Source organism: Homo sapiens, chromosome 6, assembly GCF_000001405.40.
Source record: "Homo sapiens chromosome 6, GRCh38.p14 Primary Assembly".
In the NCBI taxonomy this organism is placed as follows: Eukaryota; Metazoa; Chordata; class Mammalia; order Primates; family Hominidae; genus Homo; species Homo sapiens.
Genome location: NC_000006.12, coordinates 116,209,642 through 116,230,015, shown reverse-complemented (window position 1 = coordinate 116,230,015; position 20,374 = coordinate 116,209,642). Strand labels below are relative to the sequence as shown.

Genomic DNA, 20,374 nt, shown 5'->3' with positions numbered 1-20,374 from the left:
AGTAAAGAATACACACAAGGTGACCGGCATGTTTGGTTGTTTTTGGTTTCTAGGCGGAAGGAGAATCTCAAGCTTGATATCAGAACACTGAGTGGAGCTGCCTAGTGTGGAGGAGGAACTGCGTATGAGACTCAGGAAAACAGGTCTCAGGGAAAGATTTGGGAGTCAGAGTCAGTGTATTGGTGACAGCTAAGGCCAAGGGACGAGACAGAGAGAGAGAGAGGAGAGACAGAGAGAGTTGGCTCATGATTCTCCCAATGGTGGGCAGGGGCAGGAACTGAGCTAGCAGCATTGGCGACACTGCGGTGAACAAGGCTGACACGTTCCCTCTCCAATGATAATTTAATCTTGCAAGTCAGAGATTCCCCCGTATCCCCACCCTCAGCACTGGCGAGGATCTGGTGACGCACTGCACGTGATAGAGAACAGAGGATGAAGATTTTGCTTGGAAGACGCTTCTCCCCTCCATACATCCTTAAGCACTGGCAGGAATCAGACTGGAGGGAGGAGCTCAGTCCTGACTGACACTGGCATCAGCATCTTTGCCCCTGTTACCATGACAACCGCTGACGTCAAACCTGTGCGACTCGCTAAGGCCATGCTGTGTTTCGTGATTGGCTCGCTGTGCCTTCCATCCCAGCCAGCTCAGTTGCATTAACTTTACTTTAACCATTTGGAGCAATGACTTAAATATTGTGCCATTTCACACAAGGGATGATGCGGGCAGTGGTGGGAATGTAGTGAGGACAAACCTGAGAAAACAGAAGGACAACTTAAAAGGGAGGGAAGAAATGAGGATGACTGATTTTTTAGGTTAGTGCAAAAGTAATTGTGGTTTTTGCTTACTAGCTTGGTTAAAGTCTGTGCTTGGAAAAGTAACTAAAATGTAATTATGGAATATGGGAAGAGGGGCATGCTAAAATGGGATGGGGATTTAATGAGCTGTTGCAAGCACATCAACTTTCCTGCCACCCTGGGGCTGTGGGATGTGAAGATTTTAGAAGACAGATAGAAATGGGCTTCTGAAGGTCAGAGAAATGTGAAGCCCAGAGACAAGGAAATGTCAACCATCAGTATATAGATGATAGTTAAAAGCTTCCCAGTGGTAGAGAGCTGAAGGACAACAGGAGAAGAAAGGAGAGCCAAATACAGAATGTTAGGGAATATCAACATTAAAAGAGAAAGGTAGCAGAAATGGAGGTAAAGCAGTTAGAGGTAGCTGACGAATCAGAATCAGAATCAGCAGCAGAATAGACACATAATAGAGAATGTAATGAAGTAGGGATTTTAAAGTATGTGCAGTATAATCCTGTAATTAGTAATAGTTCTCGCAATCTTTTTTGCATTCTAAATAGAAAAAAGTATTTTGGTTTAATTCTAAAAAATATTTCTTCCACTGAAATATTTTAAATCAGAGGCCTAGAAAACAAGGGCTGGAAAGAACCTTAGACATCTAGCCCTCCTGGATGTGATAAAAATGAGCTAAACTTTTCTTCTTTTTTTTTTTGAGTCGGAGTTTCACTCTTGTTGCCCAGGCTGGAGTGCAATGGCGCGATCTTGGCTCACCGCAACCTCTGCCTCCCAGGTTCAAGCGATTCTCCTGCCTCAGCCTCTCTAGTAGCTGGGATTACAGGCATGTGCCACCATGCCCGCCTGATTTTATATTTTTAGTAGAGACGAGGTTTCTCCATGTTGGTCAGGCTGGTCTTGAACTCCTGACCTCAGGTGATTCGTCCGCCTCAGCCTCCCAAAGTGGTGGGATTACAGGCGTGAGCCACCGCTCCCGGCCAAAATGAGGTAAATTTTTCTAAATATCTGTACAAAAAGCATGAAATCCTATATACGCTGAGATTGCTAAGCACTTTACAGTCTTCATTACAGAGACTGGTAGGACTTTTGGTCCTGCTTCATCAATCCAGATTTTTCATCTCTAAAACCACAGAAGAGAATGAAACACAGTAGACTGCTAGTTAAAATGAAATTTTTATCAGACTTTCTGGCTATATCCCGAAATGCACAGACAACAAAAGCAAAAATAGATAAATGAGATTACATAATACTAAAAAGCTACGCAACCACAAAGAAAACAGTCAACAAAGTGAAAACAATCTGTAGAATGGTAGAAAATATTTGCAAACCATACATCTGATAAGGGGTTAATATCCAAACTATAAAAGGAACTCATCTCAATAGTAAGGAAACAAATAACCCAATTAAAAAAATGAGCAAAGGACCTGAATAGACATTTCTCAAAAAGATATACAAATGTCTAGCAGTTATACGAAAAAGTGCTCAACATCACTAAGCATTGGGGAAATACAAATTAAAACCATAATGAGATATCACCTCATACCTATTAGAATGGCTGTTATCAAAAAGACAAAAGATAAGTGTTAAAGAGCATGTGGAGAAAAGGGAATCCTTGTACATTCTTGGTGGGATTGTAAATTAGTTTAGCCATTACGGAAAAAAGTGTGGAGGTTCTTCAAAATAATTAAAAACAGAACTACCATATGATCCAGCAACTCCAATACTGAGTATATATGCAAAATGTATGAAATTGGTATGTTGAGCTATCTGCACTCCCATGTTCATTACAGCATTATTCACAAAAGATATGAAATCAACCGAAATGTCCATTAGCAGATTAAAGGATAAAGAAAATATGGTATATATACATAATGGAATACTATTTGACCTTAACAAGAAAGAAATCCTGTCATTTGTGACAACATGGATGAACCTGGAGGACACAATGTTAAGCAAAATAAGCCAGGCACAGAAAGACAAATACCATATGATCTCACTTACATTTGGAATGTAAAAAAGCCAAACTCATAGAATCAGAAAGTAAAATGGTGGTTATGTGAGGCTAGGGGTAGGGGTATTAGGAGATGTTGGTCAAAGGACACAAAATTTCAGGTAGGAGGAATAAATCCATAAATCCAAGAAATATATTGTACAAAATGCAGAGTTAAAAATAATATATTGTATATTTGAAATTTACTAAGAGAATAGATTTTAAGTGTTCTTACCACACACACAAAAAATGATAATGTGAGGTAATACCTATTTAAATAGTATCATTTAGCCATTCTACAATCTATATATATATCAAAATACCATGTTGTACAACATAAATATATAATTTTTACTTGTCAATTAAAAAATAAATGAAATACAAATTAGAGAAAGTAGAAATTAAAAAACTAAGTGTTTATACAACCCAAAATGTAAAACAATTTTTTAAAATGGTATATTTATTATCAGGATGTGCTTATTTTTAAAGTTTAGATTCCTAATATTTCCATACCATAAATTCAATCAAAAAGACTTTCAAGTCTTTTGATGAGTATAATATTTAAAAATATATAGTTTGGATAAACATCATTATTATGTCAGCCCTCAAATCCAATTGTACTATACAACTAACAGAAAATACTGCACAGAAGTCTTAAGATAGGTACTTCTAAAGTAATCGTTTTTTAAAAACTCCACCCTTTTTCTCAGGATACTCTCAATTAAATAGAGAAAAACTACATAAAATGCTGTAAATTGTCAGCATATTTAATGCATTTATAATTTCCAACATGTTAAAAAAAACTTGGTATATTTTTAACGTGCAGTTTTCCATTAATTGTATCTTTGTGTGAAATTTTAATAAAAATCTTATGGAATGGCATAAATACTACTATGGGTATAAAAGGGGTATAGATTTTCTTGGAACAAAATATGCAAACCCCACAAAAATAAAAATAAAAACAAATATTTATTGGGTACTTACTTATATATTTAAATGTAAGTTTGTAAAGTAGGGAAAAACATTTAAATTTTTTTCTGGTTTAATTATAAGAATATTATTAGAATTCTTGATAACAGATTATTTCTTAATATCAAGGATTTTATTATATAAGACTTTAAACCAATATATAAAAACAACATCAACCTATTTCTTTGTACTAGACTAGGGTTTCTTAGCCTTGGCACTACTGAGATTTGGGGCTAGATAATTCTTCGTCGTTGGGGGGTGCTGTCCTGTGTGCTGTAGGCTGCTTAGCAGCACACCCAGCCTCCACCCCCCTCCAAAGTTGCGACAACCAAAAACGTCTCCAGACATTGCCAAATTTGCACTGAAGGGCAAAACTGCCACCGTTGAAAACCACTGCAGCAGATCATTCTCATCAGCACATATACATATTCCAGTATCTTCGATCTTAAAAAAATAAAATATGCCCTTAATCCTACACTGTCTTCTAGCTAAAACCTCAATTCTTTGACTGCCTTTAGAGCTAAAATTCTAGAAAGAGCTGCACATATACCCTGGTTCCATACCTCCAATGAACTACTCAAGATACTGCAATTTAGTTTCTATCCCACCACTCTATGGCAACTGTTCACTGAGGCACTAGTGATCTCCATCTTGTCCACCCCAGGGAAGATTTCTCCTTCCTCATTTCAGTGGACTTTTTCTGTAGCATTTGGACTAGCTGGCTACCCTTTCCTCTTTCCTCTGGCTTCTGAACACGTATTCTACTGTTTTCCCTACTATAATCTATCTGCTGCCACACTGCACTCTTTCTTCTCTATCTTTAATATTAGAGAATGTCAGGGCTTGGTCCAGGCCTTTTGCCTATCTACATTCTCTCAATATTTGGTTTCATATAATCCCCTGGCTTCAAATACCTATCTATGAGCTGATTACTCCCAATACATATCTTGAGCCTAGACTTGTTCCCTTGGACTCCAGGCATATTTATACAATTTCCTAATTGATAGTGACAGTTACATAACTCATAGGCATCTCAAAATTAACATGTTGAAAAATGAGTTCTTAACAGATATAACCCCTACTCCACACAACTTTATCCTCTGTATTTTTCCCCAAGTCTGTAAATGGTACCACCATCTACTCACTTGCTCATTTGAGGAAAAAGAAAAATCAACCACCTGGAAGTTATTTTTTATTACTCCTTTCTTTTTGTCTGCTGTTTCTTTAAGTATCACCGAGCCCTCTGTGTTTTCCAACTCCATAATGTATTTAAATGTATCTACCTCTCTCCATTTCCAGTACTGTCGCTCTGGACCAAACCACGACAGTTATCTTACTAGGGACGCTGCAGTTGCCAGGTCTTCTTCTTCCCATCCTTCCCCACACTCAAACCATTCCCCACCCAGCAGCCAAAGTAGTCTCTTATATCACTCTTCTGCCTCAAACAATGGAACAGCTTCAGGTTACTTGTGGAATAAAATTTAAACCCCTTTCCACCGCTTATGCGGGTGCCTGCCTCCCTAACTTCACCCCCTCCCACCCCATGACCATGTGCCAGAATGGCAGGTCTCTTCTCTGTTACTAGAATGTGACAAAACTACTCTCTTACTGGGCCTTGGCATTCATTTGATCCACTGCCAGGAACACTCTTCCTCTGCTCTTCTCAGCACTTGTCCCTTAGGGCTCGCCTTGCAAGTCACCCTACCTAACCTTTTTGGACAGAGCTTCCCTGGCCAGCCACTCTAAGGAGGCCTGCCCCATATACTGTACCTCATAAGGTGGTTATTAGCTTCATGACACGTGCTACAATCCATAAGCATCCCTTGCACTTGCTGATGTGCTCACATGTTCACACATCTGTCTGGTGCACAGAAAATGCCTTGGTGCTTGACACGTGCTACCATGAACCTCACTTAGATTTCACTGTTCATAAGCCCACCACTGAGTACTGAGCTACTATCAAATGCCTAGAACTGAATCAGGCTTTTGAATAGCAAAGTTCAAAGTAAATAATACTGTATTACCATATTAAATAAATGTATTAAATCCATCTGACTCACATGAACACTTTTTTGGGAAATTTTAAATTTTATTTCAAAGCAGGATAGTGTGTGGCCATGGGAAAGTAGAGAAATGTATATTAAATATCAGTCCAACCTGGCCCAGGTTGTTATATAATGCCAAGCATATGAATCAAAAGTAAAATTATAAATCATATATTATGGTGGACACTTATATATATTTTGCATATAATATGCATGTATGTTAATTTTATCATTCTGTTTAAAATACAGCTAGATTTCTAGGTAGATCTATAAATTTTATTTGTTAATAATCTTTTATACATTTATGTGCATTTGCAACCATTAAGTGTGTTTCAATTTCCAACCATCCTGGATTTATTTTAGATGTTCATCTCCTAAGAGAACTTCTGAATGGTCCTCAAATGTTAATATATCATTGAGCTTATTTGAAACTACTTAAATAGAAATAAAAGACACAACAGATATCAAAACACTGTCTTTCACTCCCCAAAAACTATAACTTCTCTATTCCGGATCAGGCTCTTCTTTTTATTCATTTATGTATTTATTCAAGAAGCTTTCAAGAACACCTACTATGAGTACCTCACTCTACTATCATTCTTTTTCATCTGCAAATCCCTTTCATTCCACCTCTCTCCCTATCAGTCTCTTCTACATGAATGACAATTCTAAATAACCTTTCAGGAAGGCCTTGCCTGTTCCCCAGAGAGAGGAATGTTTCATTTGTTATGATCCTCATGTGTTCCACAGGCGCTTTTGTTCTAGAAGATAACTTGACTGATTTATCACAAGTAATCCATCCTTCAAATATTTATCGAGGCATTTATTTAGGCCCTAAAAACTAAGGTGAAGTTCATGCCCTTCATTTTTAAAGTTGGGGAGAGACTGACATGCAAAGAAATAATTGTGATATAAAGCGGTAGCATAAAATTTAATACAAACATAGGTTTATTATCTTTTTTCTTCCCCATGAGAGGAAAGAAGACATGGCATTGCATGCAACACAGTGTTCTGCACAAGGTTGTTAGCCAACTGTATACAGGAAAAGAAAGAAACCAAATGTAACTTACCGAGTGTCCGGAAAGGTCTCTGACTTGGTAAGTGGGAGAAGAAACCAGGCTTCAATGCATTTGTAATCACAATGTCAAAAAGGTCTGTAAAATCATTCCTAAAAGCAACACAATTTTTCATAAGTTTATTTTAAGAATTAGAAAAGGTCCATATAAAACAGAACTTGATCTTTGCTTATCTATTTTACCACAGCATCATTCATCTTTTGACTAACTTTTACATGCTTTATATTTTTCTCACACACTTTAAGGTGAACATTCCACTGGAAATAGAAGGTGGGTGAGTACTAGTCTTCCTGACAACTCTTTGAAGTATAAACATAATCAGGAAAAAAAAGAGAGTAGCACATAGACTCTAGGTACCAAGCTGGCTTTGGTAGTGAACTCAATAGTTTCTAACAGCTGGAAATATTTGGAAAATCTATCTTCAAATTTGGGGGCCTGAAATTGGCTGGCTTTGTTAGCTTGAAGAGTTAACAATTTTGTGTGTTACATGGGTCCCACAGAAAGCAGCATTATAGCAAGTCATGGTCATCTTTCAGAGAGTGCTTCAAATGTGAAGAAGACACTTTATTTGACAATCAGTGTAGTCTTATAATGTGGTAACTTTTGTATGACAATAATTAATGATTTTAAATCTGTAGTTAGCATTATATTAAGGATTACTTTTGATGGCAAAGGCAAGGTAGCCCTTCTCCTGAAGGACTCACTATTACAATGGGGGAAACAGTATTTACCCAACATTCTAGAATACTTTTACAAATCCAAACAGCAATACATAGAAATTAAGATGAAGAAAGACTATGGTTATCTATGCTAATAAAAAAGGAATTAAAATCCAGATTGTTCATTTTAAAGCATGGGCCCACTACTAGGATAGCAAATGTCTCTATGAGAGGCACCTTCTAAGACATCCAGGACTTTAGCCTTAATTCACCCAAAAGATGCATTATTATGTATCAGCCTGTATATTATTCAGAAAGCAGGAATTCTACTCACAGATTCTAAGCATACCATAGAAGAAACTAAAGCCACACATGCTAAGGAACATGGAAATCATGATGCTAAAAGGGCTGGTGAAGGTAGGTTTTAAGGCTCAAACTTGCTCCATACTCATGGCAATTCGGTATTTGATGGAATTTGAGGAAACATTAGGGGAGACCTAATGACTCAGGTAGAATCTCGCTTTGACCATAGACATTTCCTGGTATTTCCCACAAGAATAAGTATTTACACACTGAAGTCTATCAACTATTCCTGTCTAATTCTCTACCTGTATTATGCTATTTAAATATCCCCTCATACCCACAAGGAATTACTGTACCATTTTTATGACGGCAAAATTGAAGCTTAAAGAGGTTATAAAACCTGCCCCAGGTAATACAGTAAACTGCAGAGCGGGGCTTGAAATCAAGTCTGTCTTACTTTAAAGTCTATGCAATTATACTGCCTTCATTCTCATGAATTCAATCCCATCATGGCTGTGTTAAACAGTAAAATACATGGCTCCGCACGGAAATGACTAAAGAGTGGCTGTACTCCAGGTATCTGTGGAGGAGTATAACCTACAACTCAGAGTCCCTCAATCATCGTCCAAAGATGAGAAACCAAATTCATGGAAAACTGAAGGATATACAGTTTACCACCTTCTAGAAAACCTAAAACCTGGACATTCGGTGAGCTATGAGCATACTGGTCCCCAATAACACTGCTTTGCTAAAATGTACTTGGTTGGGCTGCTGTCAGCAGAGATTGAGGTATGTCATGAGAAAAAAAATCAACTTGTCACTCAGCATTGTTTAAAATAATGATATGGTCATGGCTGACACTTTTAAAAAAGCCCTGGTCTAATTTGCTATCTGTATTTCATAAGACAATGAAAACTGAATGACTCATCACTCACCCAAGAATATATTCGCAGAGAAGTCTACAGTAATCACTGTGAGAACTGGTAATTAACAGAAGAATTTTCCCAGCATTCTTTAGCTGTCGAAGCCATTTTTTCACAGATTCAGGACAACTATGTAAATATCTGCCTGGATCTCTTTTTATTTCTGGAAAATATATTCCACAGTTTTCTGAAAAATAAAAATATCAATGAGGTTTTTCTTTTTAAACATTTTTTGACTAAATATATTCTCTAACAAGTTAATCTCTTTCAAATCTATAGATAAAACTAAAAGGATAAGAACAAGGTTTGACCGACCTAGCAATTATGCCAATACTACTTGCTTTTTAAGAATAGTTCTTTACTTGAAAACACAATATTGTTTGAAAATGTTAGTTGATAATATTCGCTGGCTATTTGACAAGAACTGATAAACTGTTAAAACAGGTAACACAAGAAACACAATATGATCAGCATTTTCAAATGCTGTAAGAGAAAACCTTACATTTGAAATATCAATTGTTACAAATACTCTTTTAATTATTCAATGAATATTTGCTGAATACAGACAAGAAACAAATCAACACTCAGATATTGCACCAGGATCACATCTTTTGCATAAATAGCCAAGAAGGGCGATGAGTTCCTCAGAGTCACAGTTTGCTATTTCAGATGGAATCTATACTAGGGGAGCCATTCTATAGCCTCTGAGAAGTGCTGAGATATCAAAATGGAAAAATCGGTGCAAAATAGGCCAGAACAGGCCAAAAGGCACTGTATTTGACAGGGAACAATGAATGACTCGCATCACTGAAGCGGGGTTGCTTGCTCTGCCCCTTTAGAGTGGCCACGGGGTCTGGCTGAGCTCCAGGGCAGATGGTGGCAGTGTTTCCAGATGTCCTGACCAGACTTACCCATAGTGCTTGACCCAATGCCTTTAAAGTTGTGGGTACTTAGCAGGCAATTGCAGATTTAGTTGAAATGTTACTAGATTCATAACACATACTGTTCTCAGAGCATGATAGAACTAGTAAGCAGATAAAAAGGATTCAAGATTTTACTTTCTCTAATTGTTAGGAAAAGGACACATGCATAGACAAAAAAAAAAAAAAAAAAAAAAAGGTTAAACAGCTTGTACTGAATGATAGAGTCTGCAATAGCTAGATATGGGATACATCCGTGACTCTCTCCAGTGTGAAACACTTGAAATACTTGGCAGTTATATTTCAAGAATATCAGGACATCAGGAAGAAGAGTTGTTTTTTTTTTTTTTTTTTTTTTTGAGACAGAGTCTCACTCTGTCACCAAGCTGGAGTGCAGTGGCATGATCTCTGGCTAACTGCAACCTCCGCCTCCCGGGTTCAAGTGATTCTCCTGCCTTAGCCTCCCTAGTAGCTGGGACTACAGGCGTGTGCCACCACGCCCAGCTAACTTCTGTATTTTTAGTAGAGACGGGGTTTCACCATGTTTGCCAGAATGGTCTAATGGTCTTGATCTCTTGACCTCACAATCCGCCCACTCTGCCTCCCAAAGTGCTGGGATTACAGGCATGAGCCACCATGCCTGGCCAGGAAGAAGAGTCTTTAAGTGAAACAAAAACGAACAAATAAAAACAAAAAACGGTAGCAAATATTGTGGTCTGCCTCCCCACATCCATCTCCCTCTTTGCTGGGGAGTGCTCTGATATTGTTTCGGGTTTCATCTTCCTCTGAGGGGGTCTGTGATGCTAGGAAGGGCAAGGGTCTCTATCAGTCTACACCTATCACAGTTATTCCCTCCTCCTGTCATTGAATTGTTTAGGAAGTGCTGGGGACCCAGGCATGGCAAATGAGACCTGAGGAGAACTTTGCTGCAGGATCCTGAAGTAATGTATACCACTGATAAAAATAAACCTATAAAGGGGGGAATATCCCCTCTTCTACTACTGGACTTTCCCATGATTATAAATTCTATGTAGAACTGCAGCGGTTATCATCAACACAAAGCACGAGTCTGATATACCAGAGATGGCGGAGTGGACATATGAAAGGAAACAAACCTGGGTCCCTGATGACATCACTGGGTTTCTGCTTTTGTTTCTGTTTTTGAGACAGGGTCTCGCTCTGTTGGCCAGACTGGAGTGCAGTGTGGCACGATCATGACTTACTGCAGCCTTAAACTCCTGGGCTCAAGTGATCCTCCCACCTCGGGCCTCTGAAAGTGCTGTGATTACAGGCATGAGCCACTGTGCCTGGCCACCACTGGATTTCTGATTAAGTCACTGACTAACTCTAACCACCACTGGAAGTACCATTCAACTTCTGGACAACCTCTGGTTGTGTAAAATAACTCAATTTAGTAATAGCTTAAACATTAAGGTTATTTATTATTTGCAACTTAAAGCATCATGATTCAGAAAATATATTGCATGAATATCATAACCAGACCAAAACTAACAAAAGAAATAATATTTTGCAATATGAGAATAATATTTAGAAGACCAAAAACAAAAACAAAGTTTTTGCTCTTTTTATATTTTGCCCTACAGGAACTTCTGTGTGTGAATCTCTAGGATCTATTTTTAACATGCCAGAGGCTATATAATAGCCCTTTAAAAAAATTAAAATATATTCTCTGTTTCCCAGGGAAGAGGAAGTACTAGTAAGAAAAGGTCAGTTTAAGAAACAGATGATAATAATAAATCTAAATGGCTAAGAATAGAGAAGTTTGATGAGTGGATGACTGCTAATTTCAGAGGCTGTGTCTCTCTCGTAACTTACTATACCTAAGGGAGTCAGATGTGAGATTATTTCACTTAGAAAAACAAAGCTTTTGTAGCAAGAAGAATTTTATGGGCTACGTAAGAAAAAAATTTATAGTGTGTAATGCTGAAAACATAGACTTGCTTTCAGAAAACTTGAGAAAAAATTATTTTTTCTTAGCTATATGTGCTTAGTGCCATCTAGTGATCAAAATATAAATTACCATTAAAAAGCTACTGTTAACATTTCCAAAGGAATAAAAATACAAGGCATACGCATTTAAATACAATATTTTAAATTTCTTACCTAGGTTAATTGCATTAGTATCTCAATTAATAATGTCTGATTCAAAAGAGTACCAATATAATAATTTAATCAGATAAAATTATTCTCTGAAGTCATAACAGAGATGTCCTTGTTTTGTTCATAAGCCAGACTGAAATGAACAAACTAAAAAAGACAAGCCCTGTACAAACACATACCCAATGGTAGATTATGAGTTGCTCTTACTACAAAAGATCACTGTCATGGAGAAAATATTTTTGCCCCCTTGTAACCTCCAATTATTAAAGGAATAGGAGACATAATTATACAAATAGAAACATCTTTTTATTGAAATAAGTCAAGGTATTAAATCAAATGAAGAGTTATGTTAAACATACTACAATGGATTATAATTGTCTATTAAATTATATCCCCCAAAGAAACTATAAACTTCTAAAGGCAAGAAATATATCTTTCTGCTTGGCATGGAGCAAGTATTCAACATATGAATACCTAAATTAGTGCAGGAGCAGACACAGGAACATTTATGTTTCCTTACATTCAAGGCAAGAGTATGATTAGTACCATATAGCCAAACTGAAGTGATAAAAATAATATTATTCATGTATGATTAAGGCAGCCTATGAAAAAAGTCATGTTTAATTATGATACTAATTAACACTGATTGAACAAAATGGAATTTAGACCTAAGATGGAAAGGAGTGGTATTGTTTGTTCTTAACTCACAAAGAAGCCTGTGTTTTCACTTAACCTCCAAAGGAATTCTATTTCACTGCCACTTTATGTAACTTATTTTCCTGGTTTTTCCACCACTCTTATATCCTTTGATGCTGATATTTTCTAGGTCCAGATGAGATTTAAAGGAAATTCTTTTAATAAGCTGATTCTAAGGAATAAAAGTTTAGCTCTCCTATGTTAAAAAAACTGGTTAATGTAGAGTGACAGAAATAATACCAAAGTGTTGCAACAGTCTGATATGCACATCAAATGGCCTGAATACACCAAACAGGATATAGGGACCTCTCGTGGTAAAAAAGTATAGTACAACCTGAATATTAAAAACAGTTTTTTTCAGTTTAACAGACAATTGTGCCACATCACTATTTCTATCATCACTGAATAAGCTTTTTCTTGTTAACTGTATCACTACTGTTTGCATGATTTTTGGCCAGAATTTTCAAAGCTGCTGTCCGAGGGGACTAGAGATGCCAGGATGCTAACACTTCCATGGTCAGCCTCCAAATAAGGTCTGTTGTTTCCATTGCAGAATATAATTTAGAAGAGATTTAAATATTTACAACCTTTACAAGTTATATAAGAGCACGCTAGTGAACAGCTAAAATGCCTAGCGATGAACTGTTTAAATGTACTTGCTGTAGAGATGATATAATTAATTTTCTTAAAAGAAGAAACTTCTTTGCTAAGAGACACTGAAATATTTGTTGGAGGATAAAAGAGATAAATTTATTTTGTTTATTTATAGGTGGCAAAAAATAAAATTAAAATGTATTAAAACAGATTTGCTGTTTATATAACAAAATATATGGTTTATATCTAATATTTTATAATTAAATAAATAAATCTAGAATATCTAGATTGTGTAAAGTGAAAATCTATATGCTAAACATAATACTTGGAAAGTCTCTCAAATAAAAGCTGGGAAATGAAGTACAGAATATGAGAGAAAAACATAATATACAAAATTTACATTTTAACAGTATCTGATTTCCAGATCTGTAATTTAATTTGCATATCCCGGCCCTACTCCAAAAATTCTGATTTAATTGTTTTGGGGTAGGGCCACAACATTGGTATTTTTTTTTTTAAAGCTTCCCAGGTAGTCCTAATGTGCTACCAGGATTAAGACTTGTTGACCTAAAATATAAAATATAAAATATAAAAACCAGAATTCTTACTATTATTTTCTGTGTATTTTGCCTGCTTCATTGGAAATCACAGGCTCTCAGAGGGCAGGGACTTTTGAATTTTATAGTATCTTTATTACCTAACATATAGCCTTGTACATGTTAGGTAATCAACAAATAATAACTGTTGCCAATTATCTTAAATGTCATTGTGGTTGATGATCTTTAAAGTGTTTACTCTTACACTATACCAATTAAGCATGGTACTCTAGATTTAGTTAAGTATTGTGAATACAGAATGATGGATTTCATTCCTCCTTTGAAAGGAGGATTCCTGGAAAAAGTGTATATTATGGAATTCTTTGAAAGAAAAATTATTCGAACAGTTTAAATGAGTATAGACAAGCCAAACAGACTCCTTTATCTCTCCAAAGCCATCAAACTGCCTGACTCTGTGCTGAATACAGTCTATAAATATGATTTTGGGTCGGCAGTATTTTAAAATTTTTGGATGTTAATGTCCTTGGACAGTATTACATATGTATTGTAATAGTTTACCCACAATCCCACCACGCCATATTGTCTGCACTTGGCCTAGTCAACTCCCCTGTTGCCATCAGTTTACAACCTATTTTTTCTCCTATGATATCAGAATGAATCATTCTAAAAGAACCTAGTTTCCTCTTTCCGACATGGTTACTGGACAGACAACGTAAATGTGGAGAGAGGTTTTTGAAGGTCTGCCTGGTTTTATTCAAAATATAACAAATCCTTTAATGAGGACGCTGACAGCTGGGAGGGTCAGCAGATGGATCTGATGACAGAATCACATACAATAATATCTGGACAGGCTGTAAAGTCGACAAGGTGACTCAGTGAGGTACAATTTCATAGGGAGAGATGAAATCTTACCAGGTTGAAAGCTCAGCCATACAGGCATAACATTGGAGGAGCTGTTGTTTGTCAGCAACTTCAAAATATAGAGCTTACAGTCAGCTTAGGCTCCACAGTATAGACAAAGTAAAATAAAAAGTTTGGAGACCATGTTTTGCAATTTATTTAGTTACTACTATGTACTTTTGATATCATGTTTCTGGAAAAATATTTCTGCTCCAGAAAGCTGGGTAAGAAGCATGTGTCCTCCTTTATAACCCTAGGCATCTTATCTTCATGTGCTCCGTATTATCCAATTAGGTGATTAGATTGTAGAGCTACATTAATATCAGTACAATGTTCAGAACCAGGAAAGCAATAATTTCCACTCTTTTAATCATTTTCAGACTAAACCTTGATAACTGGGTTCTATTCTGGATGACACTTTTCACAAGAAAGTGTGTCCAGAGAATGATGATGTTAACAATTCCTATGCCCCCCACCCTAGAGACCTCTGGTGGAGCCCCAGAGATACACACTGGCCAATCAGACATTTACAAACCTGTGAAACAGGCAGCTTCAAAGGACCGTTTAATCTTAGAGTTGCTTGAGTCTATGCCTCCATGGTGATGTCCAGCCAGATAACTCTTTTTTTTTTTATTATACTTTAAGTTTTAGGGTACATGTGCACAACACAGATAACTCTTTAGCCACAATGAACACCCATTTCCACAGTGTTTCTCCTCCTCTAAAATGTCTTTGCATTTTGAATATGATATTTCAAAAACAGACTTTTGGTAGAGTAGTGGGTCTCAAAATGAAGGTAAATTAGAATTATCCAGAATGCTTTCAAAAATACTCCTAGAGTTTCTGATTCAGTAGGTTTGGGGTGGGGCCTGAAGATGTGCATTTCTAACAATTTCTCAGGTCAACTGACAGTCCAAGAACCACACTTTGAGAATTACTTCAGTAGAATACCCCTATAAAACCAGACAGCTTTTTGAAAGCCTTTTTTCTCCTAGCAGAACATGGTCCTCACTATTTCGGCTAGAAGTGCAAAACCAGATTATGCATATTTAACGTTATCTGATAAAAATGCTCAAATCTGTGTCTGTGTTTAAAAACATTTTAAGTAAAAATCTTTTTAAGTAAAATAGAATTTATTTTTATTTCCTTTATAAGAAGGATATATATGAGAATAAAGACCTGATGAACTGTTTTATGTTTTTTCAGTGTACTATTTGACATTCACTTTCATTTCTGAGCCTTGAGAGCAATACTCTTGCATGTAAAGTAGAAAAAGCACACACTTTGGAGTCAAATGGCCTAAGTTTGAATCCTAAGTTTGTAAGTGGTTTGCCACTTACAGTATCAGGATTTTTGAGAAATTTACTTAAAAATTTTAATTCTTAATTTCTTCACCTATAAAATCTCATTAAATTATGGAGAAGAAAGCCAGGCACAGTGATGTGTGCCTATAGTCCCAGCTACTTGGGAAGGTGAGGCGGGAGGATCACTTGAGCCTAGCCTAGGCAACACAGAGATATCCCATCTCTTAAAAAACAAAAAAAAGTAGTGTGGGTAAAGTATCCATCTCATAGTGCTTGGCACAAAATCCCCAATAAGAATTCCCTTCCACCCCTTCTACTTACCTAGACACAACTCTTTCTGATCCTTTTGCAGGGAGCCTATCACTAGAGGTGAAATAGGCAGGATCCTGTGCCTGTTACAGCACTTCTCAAAGTAGCATTAGTTTTTAGTAGCTCATTATAATTGAAGGGGCATTTTCATGTTCTCCTACATGTGATCTACACATAGAACAGATGTTAAATTTATTGAATATAAAACATTATAGAAGATGTGAAGTGGATTGAGTTTCCAAGATGGACACAACAATATCTCCCACCTCATATGTCTAGAGTTGGAGTTAATTGTTCCATTCTTTTATATCTGGAGAGGTTATTTTACTGCTTTGACCAATAGAATGCAGTGCGAATGACCCTGTGTTAGTTCCAGGTGTAGCCCTTAAATGGCCTGGCAGCTTCGACTCCTTACCTGTTGGAAGTCATGTGCCATGTAAGATGTGCAACCAATCTGAGGCTACCTGAGATGCTGTGAGGAATAGGTTAGATGAAGAATTTGTGTTGTAGGTGCTCCAACTGCCAGCCCCAGCTGAGTGTTGAGCTAAAAGCTTCAACTGCAAGACATAGTGAGCCCCTTGGACATCCAGCCCAGTCATGCCTTCAGAAGACTACTGTCCCCACTGACATCTGACTGCAACCACAGGAGAGACCCCCACGTTTAGAAGCACCCAACTAAGCCCAGAATCCATAAGTGACATGATACTGAGTTTTGTGTGTTGGTATCCTATGGAGCAATAGATAATCTAAACAAGATGCTTTGGAATAAAGTCCCAATTTTAATTATTATCTCTATGCAATTCAAGATAAAATATTCACAAATCCTTTTAGAAACAGATGAAATAAAAGTAAACAGGCTCTAAATTGTTTTTCTTCACCTCCAAAAAATAACTCAAAGGTTTCTACTGCATATAAATTTACAAAATGTAAATACATGAAAAGCTTTTGTCAGCATAAATGTTTTAAACAGTTTAAAGAAATCCAAAATTAACAAGTATTTAAAGCAAATTCTACATACTTATCACTTCTCATCTAGTTCAAATATGAAATGCTTAGAAACTGAAAATAATAATCAATTGCTGAAATACAGAGTGATTATAGCAGTAAAAAATGAATATCCTGGGATGTTTGTTCCCCTGCCTCCCTGCCACCCATTAAATCTCAACTCAAAAACTTTGGATTTTTCTTAAAAAACTAGATTGGTATTCAAAGGAATATGCATTTTAAAGATCAAATTTTATCACAAGAGTGCACTGTTTCCTTAATTAATTTAGTTCAGATATCCTCAGTTTCTTCAGAAATATCTTTTCTTACTAATAAAGCCAAAAGTATGCAGAGTTGTATTTCACTTAGAAGCAATCCATTTCAGAACACACATAAAGATTATAATCACAAAGGATTACTTGTTCAATGTCCAGACAGTGTATTATATAAATAGGAAAGCCCTCTCTAGCCTCCTAGGTCTGTGCCACATCTATACCTTGCATAGACAGAGTAGTTAAGCAGCTATTTTAATGAGGCACTACTCTGTTTTTCACTATACTTTTCCACCTGTATTTGTATCAGTCATATCTTCTATATGCTTTCATAAAATATCACCTGGCTAGTTACTCCATGATAACAAAAGAAAAAGGAAAAAAGAACATACTAAAGTTTCAAATCAGTGAGATTTTAACTCTGATAATTGTTTTGACAGAGTTATTAACTTTTTAATAAAAAATTTGAAAAAGAATTGATAAAATAGTATTAGAATAATGAAATAATTTCTTTGATATAACAAACATAAATATATAGGATAGTCTATGTGTAATACTCTGCAACATTGCTTGAGGAGTAATAATGCCCTAAGCCTGGGTTCTTATCCTAAAATCCATACACAGGCCTCACTGCGTGAATGAAACCCCAATACTCTTTGCAACATTTTGTTCATCAGTGTGTTGTGTGTGTTGGGGGATCAGAGCAGGTGTAGGCTCTCTAGCTTTAATTAGATTCCTGAGGCTAGGGACATGAAGAACCACAGACTTAGATTCTCTTAGATTTGCACAGTACAACAAAGCAAACATTCCAATATCCCTCCCTTTGTTATAGTCGAGAAAAATCTTATAAAAATGTCTTAGAAAAAGGAAATTCTCTGTAATAGGTAGTACAGAATTTGTACACAGTTTGTCCAGGAATAAATATACTTCGTGGACTCTATATTTTTTACATGTAAATTATTCTAAGTCCAATACATTTATACTTATTTGGCATGGCTAATGAATGGCTGTTCTAGTTAAATTAATTTGTAGGTTAATTAAGAATAACCAAATATACAATATAAAAACATACATAAAATACAGTCAACTCTTACTGTTGAACCTATATGGAAAAAAGAACTATTTAAAGAGATTAAATTATTGCTTTTCTTATATATGATACACTTTTGCTAGAGAAAATTCATTGTATTGGGTTTTTTATTGCTGCACAACAAACCACCTCAAACATGATGGCTTAAAATAACAATGTATTATCATCTCCTGATTCTGAGGGTTGACTGAACTCAGCCAGGCATTTCTCACTTGGAGTTGTGCCCGGGGGTATGGAATCATCTAAGGGTTTCTTCACTCACTGTCTGGCACCTGGGCTGGGCTGGCTGGAACGGTGAGAGCTGGTGAAACAAACATCTCTCCACTTAGCTAGCTTGAGCTTTCTCTCTGCATTTGGGTCTCACAGTAGTTGGACTTCTTAAGTGGCGGTGGGTTTCCCCCAGAGCAAGTGTTTTAAGACAAGCAAAAGCTGCAAGGCTCCTTATGACCTAGTTTTAGGAATTTTACAGTAGCACTTCTGCTGAATTTTACTGATGATAGAGGTCCAGCTCATTTTCAAGGAGAAGAAAACAGAAAGGTGTGACTTCTGGGAGGCATGATTCATTAGAGAGCTATCTTTGTAGACTAGCTGCCAAACATACTAATACTTCTATGTGATTCCTGCCAGTATATTTTCTGTTCATATCTAACTCTGTGGGAATTTTAAGCATACCATATATAGTTTTTTTTACCTGTGTTTCTGTTCAGCATTGTATCTGAGGAATTTCCTATGGCATTAACATTTATTTTAAAACATTTCCATGGTTTTAACTTAATATCACTTTTAAAATAGATTATTTATAATAATTATCCTCATAATAACTGACATAATCTGAGTGCTTATTTTTGCCAAACACAGTTCCAAGACCTTTATAACTATTAATGGATTTAATCCTCATAATGACCCCAGGAACAGGTCCTATATGATTCCCGTTTTGCAACTGAAAATCCGAGATACAGAGAGGCTAAGGAACTTGCCCAAAGTCACACAGCTACCATGTGGCAGAATCGGAATTTGAATGCAGGCGGTCTGCTTTCGGAGCTTGTGCAATACTGCCCAGTTACAAGGCATTTGGGGACTCTATGGTAACTACAGGGTCACCACAAATCTTTACTCTTTTTTTTTTTCACATGGTACATTATTACATTTCAGGGGTTTGAGGTTGTTCAGAATTTTAATAAGTGAGAGTTCAGAATTTGGATAAATTTTGACAAATCAAATTAGCTTCTTTTTGAACCTTACATATAAATTTATTTAAAATCTTGCAATGTGGAAAGTCTTTTAAGCATGGCACTGAACTCAAAAGCCATAAAGGAAAATTGAAACACCAAATTAGATTTCTGCAGAGGAAAAAAGTATCCATCAATATGCATTCTAATTATATCTAGAATTAAAAGGAGCCTTAGAAATCACACCCTTCAACCTTGTCATATTAAAGATGATTAAGTAGCCACCACATATTTTGCTCAAAATTACGGTTAGTAACAAACTTGGGTATGGAATAGAGTCCTCAAGAATCCTAATCCACTAAACCTCATCATTTATGTGTCTAAATCTATATGTTTGAGATTTAACTTATTTGATGACCATTATCTGTTAAAGAAAAATAACTTGCGTTCAGAAGCAGAAATCAAATGCTTTAAATGGTATGCCTGTTTAGCTATATAATTATTGGATAATAATTATAAAATTCAATTCTGCTTTTCCTCAGGATTTCTGCAGAAGTTCTTTGTCACTGAACTGATATTGTCTCTGCTATTATCTGGAAACTCAGACCTTCCACTGAGATAGGAAAAAAAACCCCAAATAAACGTCTAAAATTAAGGCATAAATATTATCTCCCTTCCTGGAA

The 20,374-nt window shown here is 36.3% G+C and overlaps 2 protein-coding genes across 3 annotated transcripts in view; one reads left to right on the top strand and one right to left on the bottom strand.

Annotated features, from left to right (window-relative positions):
* The window catches only part of NT5DC1 (5'-nucleotidase domain containing 1), a 148,645-nt gene that overhangs the window by 19,482 nt on the left and 108,789 nt on the right, over window positions 1-20,374 (bottom strand). For both annotated transcript variants that reach the window (NM_152729.3, XM_006715378.4), the window contains exons 7-8: window positions 8,788-8,962; window positions 6,885-6,982 (exon numbers count right to left, since the gene is read on the bottom strand). In NM_152729.3, the coding sequence (NP_689942.2) occupies window positions 6,885-6,982; window positions 8,788-8,962 (273 nt within the window). The remainder of the gene's footprint in view (window positions 1-6,884; window positions 6,983-8,787; window positions 8,963-20,374) is intronic.
* Window positions 12,872-20,374, top strand: part of COL10A1 (collagen type X alpha 1 chain) — a 98,236-nt gene continuing 90,733 nt past the window's right edge. The window contains exon 1 of the mRNA NM_001424107.1: window positions 12,872-13,045. The gene's annotated coding sequence lies outside the window, so the exon portion shown is untranslated. The remainder of the gene's footprint in view (window positions 13,046-20,374) is intronic.